Source organism: Homo sapiens, chromosome 9 (genome assembly GCF_000001405.40).
Source record: "Homo sapiens chromosome 9, GRCh38.p14 Primary Assembly".
Taxonomy (NCBI): domain Eukaryota; kingdom Metazoa; phylum Chordata; class Mammalia; order Primates; family Hominidae; genus Homo; species Homo sapiens.
The window spans coordinates 116,255,786-116,276,083 of NC_000009.12; the positions used below are offsets into that span (position 1 = coordinate 116,255,786).

General features: G+C 38.6%; 1 protein-coding gene across 3 annotated transcripts in view, besides 1 other annotated feature; it reads left to right on the forward strand.

Annotated features, from left to right (window-relative positions):
- The window catches only part of PAPPA (pappalysin 1), a 248,531-nt gene that overhangs the window by 101,995 nt on the left and 126,238 nt on the right, over positions 1-20,298 (forward strand). For all 3 annotated transcript variants that reach the window (NM_002581.5, XM_017014784.3, XM_006717129.4), the window contains 2 exons: positions 10,072-10,200; positions 15,540-15,631. In NM_002581.5, the coding sequence (NP_002572.2) occupies positions 10,072-10,200; positions 15,540-15,631 (221 nt within the window). The remainder of the gene's footprint in view (positions 1-10,071; positions 10,201-15,539; positions 15,632-20,298) is intronic.
- Positions 16,336-17,000: an enhancer, noted in NCBI's record as "OCT4-NANOG-H3K27ac hESC enhancer chr9:119034400-119035064 (GRCh37/hg19 assembly coordinates)". NCBI's record gives its function as "activates a minimal SCP1, AML or CMV promoter by ChIP-STARR-seq in naive H9 embryonic stem cells {active_cell/tissue: H9 hESC(naive)}" and the evidence as "EXISTENCE:reporter gene assay evidence [ECO:0000049][PMID:30033119]".

Below are 20,298 nucleotides of genomic sequence, written 5' to 3' on the forward strand. Positions count from 1 at the left end.
TTGGTGAAAGGGTGTACTAGGGAAAAAATATGTATATGCATATGTCTAGCTACCTACCTTAATACCATGATAATTAACATGATTTGATTTAACTGTCATCTTACTATCTTTGCCTAGGATCTAAGTGGAAATTTATAACCATTGTCTTATACCTCAAAAGACTTGATGTTTGAATTTATACTGCTCAGTATGGTGTGAAAATGCCTGAGCTGAAAAATTAAGTGAAAAAAAAAAAAAGATTCCAGGTTAGTGATGTTGCAGGGATACCTAGAAATTAACGTAAAATCGCTCTGAGGGAGGACATGGACTTGACCCAGGGAGCACATGATTCCCACAGATTAAAACCCACTGAATCTGAAAATTAAAAACATGAAAAAAGTAAACAAGGCATCAAAATAAGGGTCAGTAAACAACCTAAGGGCTTTTTACTAAATTTTGACTTTGGTGAGAAGTATACAAATTAGTATTTTAGAATAAACAGAATGCAATAACAACAAAAAATAAATAAAACTAGAAAGTACAATTTTCACAGTTAAGATGAACAAAGAAGAGACAAATAATGGAAATTTAAAAATTCGATAAATCCAAGTGAAGGGAAGAAAGGAGGAAAGGAATAAATAAGCAAGGAAAAAATGGAAACATAAGTCATTATACTAATCAGATTAAAGCCAATTGGATGAAGATAGAGCTTCTCTAGTCAGATTTAACTCAAGAGTTTTGCTGAAAGGTTAAAGGTAAAGGTGGGGACAATATTTACCAGGTAAATGCTAACTAAATAAATTAATATAGTTTTCAGACTAAGGAAACATTTGGCAAATATGTTACTGTGATTTAAAAAAAGAAGTCACCACATAATGATAAAAGGAAGATATTATGATTTACAACCTGAATTTATGAAATAATATGACCTGAAAATATATAAGTCAATGACTTTTACCTAAAAAAAGATAAATGCATGACATTGTGATATTTTAACACATTTTTCTCAATAATTTATAGATCAAGCAAACTAAAATATAGTAATAATCTAGAAGATCTTGAACAACACAAAAAAGTTTGAGCTGATAAAAATGTATAGAACCCTGATACAGAACTAAATTATGAATATTTCCTTCTTGAATAGAGATGTAGACTATTTTTTAAAGTTTTTTTTTTACCATGTACTAGGCCACAAAACAAATTTAAACAAATATCAAAGTATCAGTATCAGATAGAACATAAGCTCTGTCCACAATGCAGCACATTAACAAACAAAACACAAATAAACAAATGAAAAAGGTAAAACTTTTCAATCAATGGAATTTCTAACAAGCGAAAATCTTATATATTTGCCAACAGAATTCAGCAATGTATTAAAAACCACATATAATGTTAAAGAGGTGACTTTAATATTAGGTGGTCTATTAATGTAATTCACAATATTTGTGAATTAAATAATTTTTAAAACAGGAATTTTTACTAGATGTAGTTTTTAAAACCCTGTAAAATCAGATTCCTTCATGATGAAAAAATTATAGTAAACTGGGAATAAGTACAATGTAAAAAGTTTTTTGATCACAGGGTCATCTTCAGAATGCCCAGTTTTGCCATTGGTCTCCTACCTAGCGCAGCTGGACAAAAAATAAAAACAAAAGGCTGGGCACGGTGGCTCAAGCCTGTAATCCCAGTGCTTTGGGAGGCCAAGGCGGGTGGATCATGAGGTCAGGAGATCGAGACCATCCTGGCTAGAGACGGTGAAACCCCGTCTCTATTAAAAATACAAAAAAATTAGTGGGGCATGGTGGCGGGCGCCTGTAGTCCCAGCTACTCGGGAGGCTGAGGCAGGAGAATGGCGTGAACCCCAGACGCGGAGCTTGCAGTGAGCCGAGATCGCGCCACTGCACTCCAGCCTGGGCGACAGAGCGAGACTCCGTCTCAAAAAACAAAAAAAGTCTGAGGATTGAAAAGGAAACGACAAAACTAACATTATTCTTCATCTACTGGAAACAATATAGAAAAATTACTAAGAATCAACAATTACTAGAACAAATAAAACAGTCTATGAGGACTTCTAAATATAATATAAATTTATATAAAACTCAATTATTTTTATTATCCCCAAACTATTAGAATACAAATAAACCTACACGTAATTATGTGTATGTGTGTGTGTGTGTAAATAGCTAGATAAAAAGCTACTATTTACTGTAGGACTGACACCTATAAAATGCTTAGAGTAAGGCATATATTGCTAATAAAAAATCATCACCATTTTTATAATGAAAGCTTTAAAACTTTACTGAAACTATAAAAGAAGACCTAAATAAGTAAAAAGATAAACTGTGTGCATAAATGGGGGAAGACACAGTATCATAAAAATGCCCTTTCTCCTCAAATACACTGATACATTCAATGAAATTGGAATCAAAATCCCAACAGGCATTTGTAAGGAGAAAGCTTCACATGGAATTTCACATGGAAGAGCAAGGGGCCCTTTTGAAAAGGAAAACTATAGAATGAACTTATAATGTAAATCAAGACTTTTATGTTGCTGTGGAAATCGCTATAGACTGCTACCGATAAAACAGTAGATAAAAAATAGACCAATGAGGCTGGGTGGCATGGCTCATGCCTGTAATCCCAGCACTTTGAGAGGCCAAGGCAGGCAGATCGCCTGAGGTTGGGAGTTTGATACCAGCCTGACGAACATGGAGAAACCCTGTCTCTATTAAAAATACAAAATTAGCCAGGCGTGGTGGCGCATGCCTGTAATCCCAGCTACTGGGAAGGCTGAGGCAGGAGAATCCCTTGAACCCGGGAGGCGGAGGTTGAGGTGAGCCGAGATCGCACCATTGCACTCCAGCCTGGGCAACAAGAGCAAAAATAGACCGATGAAACAAGATAACCCCGAAAAAAAAAATTATGAAAGTACTGAAATGATATATGGCAAAGGCAGTATTACAATTCAGTAGTGAAAGGATTAACTGTTATCTTAAAGAGATTAACTAGTGCTGGACAAATAATTTTAATACATATTTGGGGGGAAAAACAATCCTTATTTCACATCATTTAAAAAACTATACTGTGGGCCAGACATGGTGGCTTACGCCTGTAATCCCAACACTTTGGGAGGCCAAGGCAGGTGGATCACCTGAGGTCAGGGGTTCGAAAGCAGCCTGGCCAACATGGTAAAACCCCATCTCTACTAAAAATATAAAATTCGCCAGGCATGGTGGCACATGCCTGTAATCCCAGCTACTTGGGAGGCTGAGGCAGGGGAATTGCTTGAACATGGGAGACAGAGGTTGCAGTAAGCCAAGATTGCTCCACTGCACTCCAGCCTGGACAACAATAATGAAACTCCGTCTAAAAAATAATAATAGTAAATAATAATAATAATAATAAAAACCTATATTGTAGGTGCTTGAAACCATATAGGTAACAAACAAAACCTTAAAATTATTGAAAGGAAATAAAAGAGACTATTTTATGATCTTAGATTAAAGGAATGTTTATTCAACAACATACGAAAAACACAAATCATGAAGGATACAAAATTCTCTTATCAACAAAGCAGCATAAACATAATGAAAAATTAGGAGTCATAGACCATGAAATGGTATTTACAATGGCTTTAATTATAAAGAATTAATATCCAGTATATGTAAATATACTTATGTATTAATATAGAAAAACAAAACTTAATTTAAAATAGGCAAAAAGATGAACAAACAATATGCATGACTAGAAACCTACTTGATCCACAAACATGTGAAAAGATACTCAGGCTTGTTAGTAATCAGGGAAAGGCAAAATAAAACAATAATTAAGTATCATTTAGTAACCATCAGATTGACCAAAAAAAATTACATATTTGGCAGAATCAAGTGCTGACAAGGACCAGCACTTTGGGAATGGGAAGCCTTTGTGCAGATGTGTTAATTGATACAATCATTTTGGTAAATACTTTGGCAATATCTAATAGTTGAAGATGCAATTATCTTAACCTAATGATACCATTTTAGCCTTTTTTCCCTCAGAAAACTCTTGCTATGTGCACAGAGGAAAAGAACACAAATATTTCAAGTAACATTGTAAATAATAAACACAGTGATTAAATAACAATAATAGCAATAATAAAAGAACCAACCTAGGTATCTATCAAGAAAAGAATGGCCAAATAAATTATGATATATTCATATGGTAAAATATTTATGTTAGTGAAAATAAATACGCCAGATCTACTTGTAGCAATATGTGTGATCTCAAACAATGCTAAGGAAAAAAGAAAAACAGCCAGCTACAAAATAAGTATAGTATTGAAACATCTATGAAATTTAAAATATGTAAAACAATACACTGTGCAAAAAGTGTAAAAATGTGCATGGGAAGGAAATGAGATACAGGAGGAGCATACAGGTGGGTTTAAACTTGATCAGTATTTATTCCTTTCACACCAAAAACAAAAGATATGAAGAAAATATGGCACAATGTTATAATTTGACAAAGCTGTATAGTAAGCCTATGAAAATTTGTTATAGTATAGTCTGTACTTTTCTATATAAGTGAAGTATTTTCTAATTAAAACAATAATAATAGCATGTATAGTCTTTGGCACATCATCTCAGGCTCAAAAAGTGAATGTTTCCTTCCCTTCCCATTCTTGGCTGGAGGGTTATATACAAAGTGCCCAGACATTACCCTCTGGTTCTTAGCTCAAGGCTACACTGGAATACTTGGACTCTTCCTGAGCCAAAGTCATCCTAGGTGGTCCCATCTTACATCTTCTAACTCAGACAATCTGGGTGGTAGGTCCAGACCTACACACGTTCTCAGTGCAGAATTTTAAATGCTGAAGCAGTTTCTAGCCTATGGAAAAGCTCAAGACATAAGGATACAACACAACACTCCTCCTTAAATTAGACCCATGGATTGCAGAACTAATCATCACATCCTTCCCAGATTCTTCTTTCATAGTTAAAAAAAAAATGGGTGGACAGAAAGAGGAAATGGCTTGTCCATGGTCAATGAGTCAACGGTAGTATTTCATAGGGAAATACTATGAAATTAATACAGAAAAACAAAGATTTGGAAGTCATGAAACACAAATTCCAAATCTTTCAACTGGTCTTTGTATGTAAGGTCTTTGTGATCCAAAACAAAGTCTTTTGATTTCTATTCTGCTGTACTTTGAGAAAGCTTGGGGCTTCTGTCTTTGGAAAGCACTGTCTTGGAATGGAGTTAGACAGAACTGGTTCAAATCCCTACTCCATGACAAAAATATTGTGACTATCGGCAAGTAGCTTAATCTTCCTAAGTGTTAGTTTCCTCATCTCACAAGGAGGATAATTATTCGAGGGATTGTTCTTTTGGTTGAGACTGTAAATACAAAATATGATACGTAGTGCGTAGCATATAATAAGTAGGCAACACATAGAAACTATGATAGCTGTTTTTATTCCAGAGGATGAAGTTTTAAAGAAATATAACACAGTTTAGTTATAGAGACTATTTGAAGAGATAGACAATGATAAACGAATGCTATGATATAGAAACAATAGGATCAATAATGAGTATTTAAGGAGCTCAGAGAGAGTTTTCTGGAAGAAGCAAAATGTGATGTTTCCATAGGGTAATGAGCCTGTCTCTCCCCTTCCTCCTATATGACTTTTTTGTTTCTTATTTGACCTTCACAGTGGTATGGGACAAGAATCAAACATCCTAATTAAAAGACAGAAAAACAGACCCCCGCAAAATCACATGACTTGTCTACAGATTTCAGATAGGTTTTAATTGACCTATCATATTAACTACATACCAATAAACTTTAATTTATGCATTTTAAATGCATATTTAAGCTTAAGTCATAAGGTGCTTACCCTCCTTATGTATATATTAATATTTTAGATAATGATTTCACAACCTGTAATTAAATTTTAGTGTAAGTTGTGCTCTAAATTCGATACACATTTACCATCAGTATGACTTTCTGAGGCAGAATACTGAGATCATATCAACCAGAAATGCCAGCATTTTTGTTTCTAATTATCAGAAATACAACCCTATGGCACATATGCCATTTGCGATATGTGTTAAAGAATGACGGTTAAATGTAGAAAAAAGTGTTTTGTTTTGTTTTGTTTTGTTTAAAAAAAAAATGCATGAGGGCCAGGCACAGTGGCTCATGCCTGTAATCCCAGCACTTTGGGAGGCCGAGTGAGGAGGCTCACTGGATCCCAGGTGTTCTAAACCAGCCTGCGCAACCTGATTAGACCCCATCTCTACAAAATATATTTTAAAAATTAGCCACTGTGGTGGTGCATGCCTGTAGTCCCAGCTACTCGGGAGGCTGAGGTGGGAGGATTGGTTGAGCCAGCGAGTTTGAGGCTACAGTGAGAGCTGTGACTTCTGCCTGGGTGACAGAGCAAGACTGTCTTAAAAAAAAAAAAAAAATCGCAAAGATTCCACAGAACAACCCTTCAAAATAGACAAACAACTTCATCACATTTAAATATATTAGCTACAAACATAAAATATTCAGATGCAGACTTTATGATTTACTACTACGGATGGTTGAAGTTTAAAAAGAAAAAACTTAAAATGGCATTCAGAATTTGATGTGAGAAATCAGAAGTAGCCAAAATAATCACATCTCAGGTGATCTGCTAAAATTTTAGTTCCAAAGAAAGAGTAAATTGGAAGTTTCAGCTTGGTAGCAAGCTGCTGTCGCTGCACTAAATGAAAAGATTTTGAGCTGGACAGTGGCTCTAAATTTAAGAATATTCTGACGATGTTGGCAAGACTGGAAACGGGATATGCTTGAAGCAGGACATTAAGCCAGAGGCTGCTTTGGCCGTCAAGATTGACATATGGGCCTCAGGAGAGCTGAAGAAAGGATGACGTGGAAACTCCTGGGTGGGGAGAATTGAGAGGGCTTAGGGTCCATCTGAATGTAGGAGGCACAGGAGGGGAAGGAGTTCAAGTGATAGCATAAGGCTTTCCAGATGGTTTTAGGAGCAGCTGAAAGGAACAACTTGACAAAAATGTCCTACTTTTAGACCAACAATGAAATAGGTTCTAACCTCCAGCAAAGCCTTCAGAAGCCACTAGCTTATCCTTCTGAAAGAAATCTATTCTACCTAGGTTCTTGAGAAAAGAGCCCTCATTTAACATTAACTCTGACTTAAACTTGGGTAAAATATAGTTTTATCATAGGAATTTTTCCGTGGAAAACATAATCTTTTTAGTAACTGCTGTACCCATCCCACTGTCCCCACCTTTTAACTTAAGGGAGTGACTTGGGTTTTTATTTTTCAATCTGAAAACTTGGGATAACAACACCTTCCTCAAAGAGCTGCTTAAGCTTCTGGAAAACAATGAAATATGAACCACACACACACAGCTAGAAGAAGGAAGGTTATTAAGGTTTCTGTACTAATCAAATATGATGTTAGTGGATAAGAAGGAGGTCGGTGGGTAGACGTTACAGGGACACAGATTTCGCCCCAGGGTAAAGAGAAACCTTCTGGGATCCAGAATTTTCAGAAGCTGAAATGGGTCACCTGGAAAGAGAGCAAGCTGCCAGGCACTGGGGGTGTTCCAGCCAAGTGAAGTAGTAGAAAAGATATTTTCATCAAGCCACGGCACACATGGTAGATGATGGCTGCATCTTCACGGGTTTGCCTCACCAAGGTTACATTACTTATTTGTCTCTCCATCTCTTCTAGTAAGGGGACCATAGCATAAATTCAGTGGACAGGAATGTTGATAATTAACCATTAATTGTAATGGATTAACATTTATTAAATGTTCGTCATAGGCTGGGCCCATATGTGCTTTATAATTGTTCTCATGCTTCATCTGCAGATAAATGCTGTGAAGCCAGGTTTATGACTGATTTGAAATAGGCTCAGAAAGGTAAAACACCGGCCCATGACTTCCTGGCTAATAAGTGAGGCAGCCAGGACAGAAACACATGTTTTCTTGTCTCTGTGTTGATATTTATTGAGGAAAAGGAGGAGGAAGAGACGCGACGAGAGGACAAAGTGGAGAGAGGAGCAAAACATTCACAAATATTAGCCAACCACCTTAAATATCATCAGCCGCAAATCACTCGTGACACATGCCAGAAGTGAAAAACACAATGTAGAGAAGTACTTTTCATACTCACCCTTTTCCAGAGAACTACCCCCATCTACTTAGACAATGACTGGATAGCCCCAGTGGACTGGGATGTAGTCTGAAGAAAATTTCTTATTTTATATCACAATGTGGCCGTTTAAAAAATATAAAGCATGCCTCTGTATTTTAGAAAAAAATGAACGCATAATACAAGGCATGTCATATTTATCATGTAACTTTGTGTATCCCCTGGGATTGTTACTTTTTTCTCCACCCCACTCCAGTTTTAGAATTATCACCAGGTGAAGTATATGCTCATTAGTCTAGATGTGGATAAAGTAGCCAATAAGCTAAATGAAATCATAAACCCTATAATTCTATCAACAAATTAGGATTCGAGGTTTACAAAACAACCATCACTCATGCATAAAAATCTCTCAAGATATTGGTATGTCCACCTATTTCATCTTCATTGGCAGAGCACTAAATCTCCAGGGATTTTTGGTCTACCCACAATATTAGCAGTTCCAGTGCTGCTAAAACAAACTCCCTTTGGGGTAATACATCCAACATTCTCAGGAAAGTTGTGTTCTTTCCCAGAGTCCTTCAATGCTCATAAACTCCAGCTCATTATTGTGTTGAGAGTCTGAAGACATTCTCTGTCCATTGCCCCTGCACCTGTTATCTTGTTGGCCTTAACCAAACAGCCCAAGTCCTAACAGCAGCTGAAATAACAGACGGGCAGGAGAACTTGAGATTTTTTGACATCATCCTTTTGTTTATGAAATCCCCCCCAATGCTGGAATCTGACAGGAATTCTCTTCATTATCATTTTGTGTTTTTTCCCATGGTACTTTGTTGTTATTAAAAAATTATTACTAAAAATAATTGATGCAGAGGTAGATGAAAGATAGGAATAACATCTTCATTTGAAAATTGTCAAAAAGGACATAGGGAGGGGGATGTGGTCGTGTGGAATTGACATAAACATATATTTGCCTTGGAGGATAATTGGCAGTAGCTGTGTTCATTTGGTGGTGTGTTTGTGAGGAAGCCCAAGCAGGTACTAGGAGGTCTTTAGGTCAGAGGAGAGATGCAGTCTAGGCAAGTTGGAAATCTGGCAGGAAGCAGTCCTTGGAATTGCGATTCCCAGGACATGACCCAACTTTGCAAGGGGTGAGGTTATTAAAACAGACCTAAAATAGGGATAAGATAGGCAGAATATAGGATATCACTTAATAGCATATGATTGTAAGCAAGTTGCTTTACCTTCCTATGCCTCAGATTCACCATCTGTAAAATCAACATGTAAATACTAGCAGCCATGTAGGGATGTTTTGTTTCTCAAATAAGAAATTCATGAAAAGTGTTTAGCCTAAGGCCCTATATTCTATTAATGGATGCTGCTATTATTATTATTATTTTGTCGAGAGTGAAAGAAATAGGGAGAAGCAAGTGGCAGGGAGGCAGAGAGCCACTGTACACACAGCATCAGAAAAGGGTTTGCTCACGTGTAATGGAGTTTCTGCTCAGGTCTTAAAATGAGGAAACATGATCAGATAATGCCCTAAGAATCTGATGTGGTGCTTTCCCACCTCTGTGCTTTTGTTTATATTTATTTTTCCTGGATGGCTTCCTCACAAACGTCTTCATTTTTAGTCATTTGCCATCTGATACTTTTCCAACAGGGTTGCTGTATAGGTTAAATTAAAGAAAAAAACAACACCTAGTAAGTACATAGTTATCAGTCAATTGATGCTGGTTATTACTGTACATTTTAGTGTAGTCCATTATACTTAGCTAACTGATGTAGCCATAGTGGACAATAGAAAGTATTGGATAGCTAAATGTGCATTTGATTTCAAAAATGAGCAAGACTGATAGAACCTACTCCAGGGGATCAATTTTCCATTCTCTCTTTGTCTGCCCAGTATTGTAATTGTATAATTATGTCTTCTTTGTATTTTCCAGGGATCTAAATCTTGGCAGTGTGTACCAGTATTGGGTCATAACTATTTCAGGAACTGAAGAGAGTGAGCCATCACCTGCTGTCACATACATCCATGGAAGTGGGTACTGTGGCGATGGCATTATACAAAAGTAAGTAGATCTAATTAAAGAAAGAAGAGGAGGGATGCTGGTTAGGTCAAGAGATGGTTAGGGTGCTGAACAGAAGAGCTTATGACATATTCTTCAGTGCATGAGCTGTGAGCTACTAGTGGTCCCCAGCAGTCTCTGGATTGGTCTCCAAACAATTTGCTGAACTCAGAAGAAAAGCAATGACTCTTTTTGAACACGTACATTTTGCGACTATGTAATACAATATATGATTTAGACAGAACTACCCTTATGTACCTACTACCATTTGCTCTTGCTCTCAGTTGCTTTATGTGTGCTACAAGGATTCCATTAGATTTTTCCCTCACAGTCACAGCGTACATTCAGTTAACAGGACACAGTTCATCTAGGTTAAAACACTTTTAAGTTCTTTGCTGGTTACCATTCACATTTATGAAAACTGCATATTTATTTGTTATCTCTATTGTATCATATTATACAACAATTTACAAAATGGGTCAAAGGCTTATAAAAACAGTGGAGTATTTTAACTCACTACAATGTTTAAACCATAAATAATAAACAGTGCTCTGGAGTGAATATTGAATGTGAATATGAGTACACTGAGGCAAATGAAGCATCATTTGTGGGTCCAATCAGTAAGTGTGGATTTTATCAGATTATCAACCCATTCATCTTCCTGTTCTCAGGACAAGATGCTATGCAACTGGCAAACAGGGGTGAGGAGCCACCAAGACTTTTGCATTGTTTAAAACTCAATAAATAAACTTTTAAGTGCTTTTCCTCCAGAATAAGAAAAAAAGTTTTCTAGTACAAAATAGAGAATTTTGTCTCTAGAGGTGGAAAAGAGACCAATAATTATTCAAAATTAAATCTCTTATTGCTAAAATTATGTTCCTCATTGCTAAAATGTTTATTTGCAAGTCACACTATTGCTAAGAGACTTTTTAAACTATTGACAGATTTAATGATAAACATTACATGTGGAGAAGGCAAAACAAGCTATTGGCAAAATTCCTTCATTAAATAGCACTGTTGGGTGTCACATAATATCTGTGCAATATGGAATTGCAATTACTATTTCTATAAGGGGAGGGGTGGTATGAAAAAAGAATTTGCTTCACAGTTGGATGAAACCACTGATGTGTAGAACATGAATCAACTCGTAGGAGTAGTACATATATGAAAGAGACACATTAGATGACTCTTTCTTTCTGTTCATCACTAACACTAAGCTAGAGGGGAAGAACAATTTAATTTGTTTCTGATGATTTTGTGGTATGGAATGTAAACTGGAAACCTCTGCTTTAGGATGAAAGGACCAGCTAGGAATACAGCAAGGATGATGCAGTAATGCAAGTGAAAAGAGCTGGCATATAAATACTCATCCACATAGACATCAGTTATTTGCCAGCAGTGTTCTTTCTGAACATGATTTAACATTAAAGGCAATAGAAATATTGCAAACATGATCAGATGATTGGTAAATTATATCTTTTAAACTTGCTGTGTAACAAGATAGTAGCATGTACAAGATTCTGTTCCTCTTTGCTCCCCACTCCACAACTAAAGTTTGCCAACTGTTAATGAAAAGATACCAACTCAAGTTTTTAAAATAAGAAATGGCGGCCGGGTGCGGTGGCTCACGCCTGTAATCCCAGCACTTTGGGAGGCCGAGGCGGGTGGATCATGAGGTCAGGAGATCGAGACCATCCTGGCTAACAAGGTGAAACCCCGTCTCTACTAAAAAAATACAAAAAATTAGCCGGGCGCGGTGGCGGGCGCCTGTAGTCCCAGCTACTCGGGAGGCTGAGGCAGAAGAATGGCGTGAACCCGGGAAGCGGAGCTTGCAGTGAGCCGAGATTGCGCCACTGCAGTCTGCAGTCCGGCCTGGGCGACAGAGCGAGACTCCGTCTCAAAAAAAAAAAAAAAAAAAAAAAAAAAAGAAATGGCATTAAAAAAATATTGGCACTGATGAGGCAAGTAATTATTTGCATAATCTCAAGTGGCTTTCTGAAGCAGGAACATAGCAGGAACATATATGTATATTTATCTATATATTTCCGGATCATATGTTTATTTCTTAAATGTCCTACACCTAAAATTTTATATCTGAATTGTCAAAATGTTTAAGATTGAAGAGATTAGTGTAAGGGTTTATAACTGTTGCATTATGGTGCAAATCAGCTGATTGCCAAGAATTTGACTCCTCAAGCACAGAATAGAAAGCTCCTCACTTGTTTGAGCTATTTAACATACAATGCTGTATGTATTTAAGATCCACATTCATATGAAGCAACAGAACAAGAAGATACAGTTTCCAATGCAGTAAAATTGGGGAAAGGGAAACTTCTCACTGTTCTCTCCCACATTAATACATCAAATTCCAGCTTTTGATAAAGTTGCTGTCTGATGGAACATTGAACAACTAAACAGAGGACTCTCCATGGAGAAAGTACCCCATCATTTGTGGGTCCAAGATTGAACTTCATATCTAGACTATCCAGAAAACATTTGCAGTCACTGGTGATAACTCATAATTGTGATTTGGGAATTTCTAATTTAGCCCAATTTTTTTTTTAAGTCATCAGATTTGGAGCCTCATCTACAGCTCATCTCAGCTCATGGTGGAAACAGATATAGATGAATTGGTTAAACACTGCAAATGATATCATTCTTGCTGATCTAAAACTATTAGTATCATAATTATTATTAATTTTAAATAGTATACTTAATACAGTTTTTTTTTAGTATTTTTACCTAGAATTAGTATCTTTCATAAACATCAAACACATGTTCAGTTACCTGTAGATATCAAATATTTGTTGATATACTTTGTAGAAAACTAAATTTAGCTTATGGATGTTTCCCTAAGTAGGGGTGGGGGGGTAGGGGGGAAGGAAAACTTTGGGGAAAAGAAGGGATATCATCTTAGCTAATACGATTTTTCATGGAATGATGCAAGTTAATTTGCTCTGTCTGTAAAATAATTTATGAAGAAATATGGATAGACTCAGCACTCAGTGAGGCCCTTAATGGATGAGTGCTGTCTTAAATGATCCATAGCAACAGGTTCTACATTTGATAGATCGGGTAAAGGTGAAGGCAATGGATGAACGTTTTGATAATGACAATAATATTTATACACACTTCTTGAGTCTCTACTGTGCATGAAGCACTGTGCTACATTATTGTCTCCTTGAGTTCTCCCACCCAACAGCCATGTGAGATAGGTCTTATTATAATACTTTACGGATAAACAATGAATACACAAAGAGATTACAGAGGTTTTCTCAAGCTTCCACATCTGGTAAGATGTAGAACCAATACATGAACAGAGGGCCCAGATTCTCATCTGGATTCCCCATTGCATTGTTGTGTGATGTGACAACTCTGCAAAACTAACAAGTAAAGGAGTGGCTGCATGCTGTCTGTTATATCCTAGGCACTGTGCCAGAAACTGGGGTGCTAGGATGATGAAGACTCTGTCACTTCCTTTGGCAAATTACAGCCTCTTATAAGGGGCTCTCAAGTAACAGGCAAAGGCAGTCAGTTTGACAAGTGCTGTGATAGATGGAGCAAGATGTCTGTGGACACAGAGAAAGATGGCCACCCGCTCCAGCCCCAGAGGTCAAATAAGGTTTCGCAGAACTTCTTTATCTAATGATAGATCTGTCATGCCTAGAAGATATTTGTAGTGACCCGAATATTTTGTTTAAACCAGTAGAACACTGTTTGGGTGGCGATGGAAGGGAGGTTGAAAGTAAGCTTTGTGGCTTAGGGAACCAGCCCAGGTATTTTTTTGTTTTTAAAGTCTTTTCCAAAACAACCTATGCATTAGCTTAGAAGCACAAGGTCATCGGCAATTTCCAGCAAGCAAGACCCACTGCCAGACAATGCTGAGACCAGCTAAAAATACAAACTTCTTCTTTGCTCATAGGTGTGCAGACAGGAGAGGACTTGGGTGGCTCCTTGGAGATCAATTCAATGCCCTAGCCATCTTAAGGATTGATTGCAAGGCATTATCCTGCTACTCTGACACCTCTTAAAAGCAACAAACATTGCCCAGTGTTAATTGCCTGGGTGAAAGGAAAAGTCTAAGGCCTCTTCCATGCTGTGACAGGTCCCAGCTGGTCTCTGGGGAGGGAGGGACAGCTGTCACACACTCTGCAGAGACCTCCCAACGCAAAGTGGGAATGGGGACTGTGATTCCTTGAGCATCTTCTATGTGTCACCCACTGTGCCAACCACTTTAAGCTACTCAGAGGCATAGGACTAATTATCTCCATTTTAGCACATGAGAAAACTGAAGTTCAGCATCCACAGGAGCACTGTTCAATGGATTTTTCTGCAATGATGGAAATGTGTTCTGTGCTGTCCATTACAGTAGCCACTAGCTACATGTGGTTCCTGAATACTTGAAATGTGGCTACTATGACTGAGGATTGGAATTTTAATTATAATTCATTTCAATTAATTTAAATGTAAATCATCACAGAAATATCAGATCAAGAGGTCAAGTGACTTTGTCAAGATTATACAGTTAGTTTGAGACATGGGGTTCTAAACCCAAGTGTTTTGTTTTTTAAAGGATGACCGTTTTCCAGAAAGCAGTAACCCATCCAGACTTTCAGGTGTTGTTCCTCCTTCTCATCACCTAAGCCCAATTCAAAGATCATTGCTCATTTTCTGCCCATCCCAACCCTTTGCAAAATCATCCTTAGGTGGTGGAAATAATTCCAACAAAAACAAAGGGGGCATTAGTATTTCATAACAGTGTAGTCTCGCAGCCCTTGGAGTTCTTGACACCAACAAATGACACACCCGATGGAGAAAGCAAAACTTTCCAATGGAAGGATGACTAAACTTGAATGCATGAATGAAAAAAAAAAAGTTACCTTTAAGTATATTGGGGGAATAAGAAGGATATCAAGGCAGGGAGTGGTGAAGGACCAGAATCTCTACATTTTCCTTCAAATATGCTTTTTTTAAGATCAGAGACAAGGAAATGTCTGTGAGACTTCCTAGACACTGTGGGAGCAAGACCATTTATTTGTTCATTAGTTCTTCCATGTCTTACTCCCATCTGACTTAACTGACTTGAGATCTCAGAGAATGAGTTGGAATCAGGACTTCTACTTTGTCATCAGAAACACAAAGCAAGGCAAATGTGAAAGTATCTTATAAATCCATACCTTTTAGAAATCTCATTTTGAAGATGAAGAAGCAGAGACTCAGACAGAGAAAGGGATTTGTGCAAGGTCTCACTGAAGGTTCATGGCCCAGGGAGGGACTTTTCCATGTCCAGCCATGGTTTTAAGACTAAATTGGCAAATTTCTCTTCCATATCTGCTCTGCAGAGACCAAGGTGAACAATGCGACGACATGAATAAGATCAATGGTGATGGCTGCTCCCTTTTCTGCCGACAAGAAGTCTCCTTCAATTGTATTGGTACGTCTTTTTCATTTCTTGTGGCCTTCATGAAGAAATGAACGGTGCAGAATGGTTGGTCAATGATAATGCCAACAATAGTTATGACTAAATGATGATTCACTCCTTTGTATTACACCTGTTTATTGAGTGCCTCCTACATGCCAGGCACTGTTTTCAATATCGGGAAATACAGCAGTGAAAAAACAAACAAACAAAGCAATCCCTCAAGAGCTTAAGCTCTCATAGATGATGCCAATGACGGGTAACTTCTTTTGATCAAGCTTTACCTTACAAACATCCCTGCTTTTCTTCACACTAACTGTCCAGGATGGGTATTACTGGAGATGTTTTAAGGCTTTTATTCCTACTTCAGAGATAAGAAAAAATCAAACGCCAGAAAAATTTCAAAAGTTGTCCAGAGTTATACAGGTCAAAAGTGATTAAAGACAGAATCAGGACTTGAACCTGATTTTGTCTGATTCTCAAGCACGTGCTCAACTCATTTTGCTTTGCAACCTCCAGCCGTGATGCAGGAACCACCAAGGTCCCCTCTGCAGACTCAGAACCTTGGGCAGTCTCTCTGATCTGAGGAAGGAGGAATAGCAGACCAGCCTGTGTTTAGAAAGCAAATGTCCTTTTCCCACCTTCACCGAGTCATTTGGGAAATTTGTTTTCCTCTGCCTTCTCTTGGAGTCTGGCTGATCTTGTTGTTTCAGCCCCACTTGGGAGGCCCTGGTCAGCCCCGGGCTGGTAAACAGACAGGGGTTGGGAGGGGCAGGGGTGGAATTTTGAGCTGGTCCAGATGAGATCATACTTCCTTTAAGATGCAAATCGATACCTGAAGATCAAAGGTCCCCCAGCTAATCCCCTGGGCTGGAGGTGAAAACTAATCACAATTCATTTGCAAGTACAAAAGACAGAGGTGCTCTATCTGAAGAGAGAAGGGGCAGTTACAAGCGGATGAAAACCTTCGTGGGAAGATTTCTCACTGACAGGCAATTTTCTAGGACTAAAGAGGAAAAGATAGCATTGCATCCTCGCATCTGCAGTGCATTACAGGGGTGCATTTAGACATTCTTTCTCCCAGTAGATTGTGAGCTCCGTGATGGTGAAGACCATATACCATGTGTCTCTTATTCAATTCTCAACACGCATTTGTTGAGCACCTACTATCTTCTTGGCACCCAGTAGGGGTTGAGCAACACAATAGAAGTGCTCTGTAAATATTTATGGTTGGAAGATAGGTAGATGCCCCAGGAGAAAAGACATGGGAGTTTCTAGGCAGGGCCTTGGGTTTTAAATTGCCAAAAAATTTTCTCTCCTCTGTTGATTTGAATATGGTCCGGTCCCTAGTAAAAGCTTGATATTAGCCTAGTGATGTGGTGGAAAGAACTTTGGATTAAAATTAGGAAAACCAGGTTCTAGTACCAACTGTGCTGAGAACTTACATAAAGCTGGCCAAGTGGCTTCCCTAGTCTTGGCCTCAGTTTACCTACTGTAAATTTTTAAATGATTGGGTTAAGTGGTCCTAACTCTTAACTTAAGAGCCTTACCTGCACTTCTGTTGTGTGATTTTTTGAGGTGGGTGACTGAATTCCTTCTAATTGTGAACTCTACCTGAGCCAAACTCTTACCTTTGTCGTCATCCTTATGGCAACCAACACTAGTCCCAGACCATGCTGAAAAATATCTGCCTGTTTGACTTGCACTAATGTGGCATGTAATTTATGTGCTTCTGGAAAGAAAGTAGGATGGGGTGAAGGTAGGATATGGTACCCTGAAAGAGATGCTTGAGCCTTGACATTCATCTGCTGTGTTGATTTAGAGCTATGCAATGATCAGGAAAAATAAGGACATCTCTAATAGGTAGAAGCTCCTCATCCATGGAAGGGGTCTGCAAACTATGGTCCATAGGCCATAGCCAGCCTGCCCCCTGTAATTGTAAATAAAGATTTATTGGAACACAGTCACACTCATTTGCATATTGACTGTGGCTGCTTTCATGCTACAATGAGAGTTCAGTGATGACAGCAGAGATTCTATGACCCAAAGAAACTAAAATATTTATTATCTGGTATTTTACCTGTGAAGTTTATCAACCCTTGTTCCATGAATTTGGGATATTTTATATGCTTGTTTACTGGAGCCAGGTGCAGAGAGTAGGTGAAAATTATAATGTGGTTCACCATTTCTTGTTAACAAAAAACTGAATTTTAAACATACAGTGTAGCTGGGAGTGGTGGCGGGCACCCATAATCCCAGCTACTCTGGAGGCTGAAGCAGGAGAATCACTTGAACCCAGGAGACGGAGGTTGCAGTGAGCCGAGATCATGCCATTGCATTCCAGCCTGGGTGACAGAGCGAGACCCTGTCTCAAAATAAAATAAAAAAGATGAGGGAGTTTCCAAGAGGATGAGACTGAGATCCTCCTAGATTCATTTTATAGACTGTTGTTCTCTACCAGATTCTGTGTTCTGCTGCTGATGGTGATATTTGCTTAATACTTCTTATATACCAAGCACATTTATAAACTCTTATTCTCGTAACAACTCTTTTACTGAACTGCTCTTTCAAAAGAGGAAATTGAGGTATGGGGTGATGATCTAAGGATACACAGTTAAATGGTGGAGCTGGAATTTAAACCCAGAGAGCCTGACTCCAGAGCTCACTGTGGTAAGCTACCTGCAAAAAAAAAAAAGATAGCTCCTGGTCTTGCAGGCTTTCAGGGTGAATGAAAAAAAAACATTGCAAAACAAGTCGTATCACAAATTAATGGAATGGAATACAAAACCATCAGTGTTGTGGACAGTGTCTAGGGAAGGCTCTCTGTTACCCCTGTATGTTCAGTGGAATTTGTATTACAGGAAAGCCTTCAGCTACGCCCTTCACTGGCCACTTAAAATCTCATTATAGACACTCACAGAGATACAGGCATCCCAGAGATCCCAGCTCCCAGGGACTACATTCCAAGGACAAATCGTGTAGCTGAAGTCTAGAAAACTATCTTCCTCCGAAAGGAACAGCTGAAAAATAGACAGTGAATCTTTACTCCCAGCAGACCAATCTTTAATGAGTCAGAGAAGAGAGACAAGTGTGGGAGGCTGTGCTGAGGTTGACATTGTTCCCATGATTGCATTTGTTAAGACAGTGGTCAAGATAACAGTCAGGAGATCAGGCATACCATGACTTAGATGTGTAACTTTGGCTAAGCCTCAGTGTTCTCATGTAGAAAATGGTAAAAGCCCTAGAACCCAACAGTGGAAGATATTGACCAATATTTTTGGATACTTTCTATCAGAATTTCCTTCTTAGACTTAGGAGATAATTATTCTAATAAGGAAGAGCCCAACGCTTAGTATAGAAGTTGATTATCCAAGCATCTCCTTCTCCCCGTCTTCTGGGTAGCTTGAGTGTGGGTATATACAACCTAGGCTTTCCCTCTGCCCTCCAGTCAGACACACCAACCCAAGACTTTGAATTGGAAGCTAGTAGTGATTAGACTTAGGGATACTGTAGACACCATTTTGCTGAGGATGGTGGGAGTAGCCACATCCATACCAGCCTCCTAAGTACCAGGGAAGGCATCTAGCATCAAAGCTGAGCTAGCTATGCACAGCACCAGCTCTGGATCCCCTCACTAAACTAGTTCTGGGACCTAATCTTGGGCTTGGAATTGAGCTTCAGAGCACGCAAGCCTGGCTCTCCAGAGAGTGTTCCATACGTAACCAATATTCTTTGAACAAATTTTGCTTGTTTGTTTTGCTTAAGTTATCCAAAGTTGGTTTTTGTTGACTGTCACTCAGAATCTTGACTGAAAATTATTGCCATAAGATAATGTGAGATTTAACCCCATTTCTAGCAAGTTGGATGTGCTTGATGCACAGATGCACATTAGCTATTACTTTTCTCTATGTGTGTTTGTGTGGAATGTTGCGGGCACAGGATACCAGCAACAACCACCATTTATGGATACCCACTAGGTGATAGGTTCTTCATACGCATCTTTGTTTTCTGTGAACTACGGGTCGTCTCTTGTTTCCGTATGTGAGATCTGAGGTCTCTTATGACATCTTAACTTGCACCAGGTCACACAGCACACAGAGGTATGATCCTCTCTCCAGTCTGAGTAGAGAACCTGGCTTTTTCTACTCTGCCACTCTGCCTCTCCATTTGAATGACTTTCTTCCTTCCACTGTTCTTTCTTTGTTCTTCTTTTCTCTTCACCCCTTCCTCTTCCCCCTTTTTCCTCTCCTCCTCCTCTTCTTCCTTCACTCCTTCTTCTGCCTCATATTCTTCTCCTTTTTCTCCTTCTCTTCCTCCACCTCTTCTACCTTCTTGTCCTTCTCCTGCTTCAATTTAGAAGGGCTGATGTTTTCTCTGGCTTAGTAACACCAGCGTTAGGGTGGGTGACAGATTTATGGTGACATTCCCATTCACTTTTCAGAAGCCCACACATCCGGAAGTATTCCCAAGGTGCCAGTGTGTTATTATGCAACACCCTGGGGACTTCCCGTTCTCAATTTCCCACCCCTGGTGCCCTCATCCCCCAGCACATAATAAGTTGCTTGTTAAAATGAACACCACCCACATGACCTCTCAGGCAAGGCAGGCTTCATCCCTTTGCAATGTGGAAGTTATCTTGTCTTTTTTTCCCCTCTTTTAAAAATATAACATACACCAGGCCT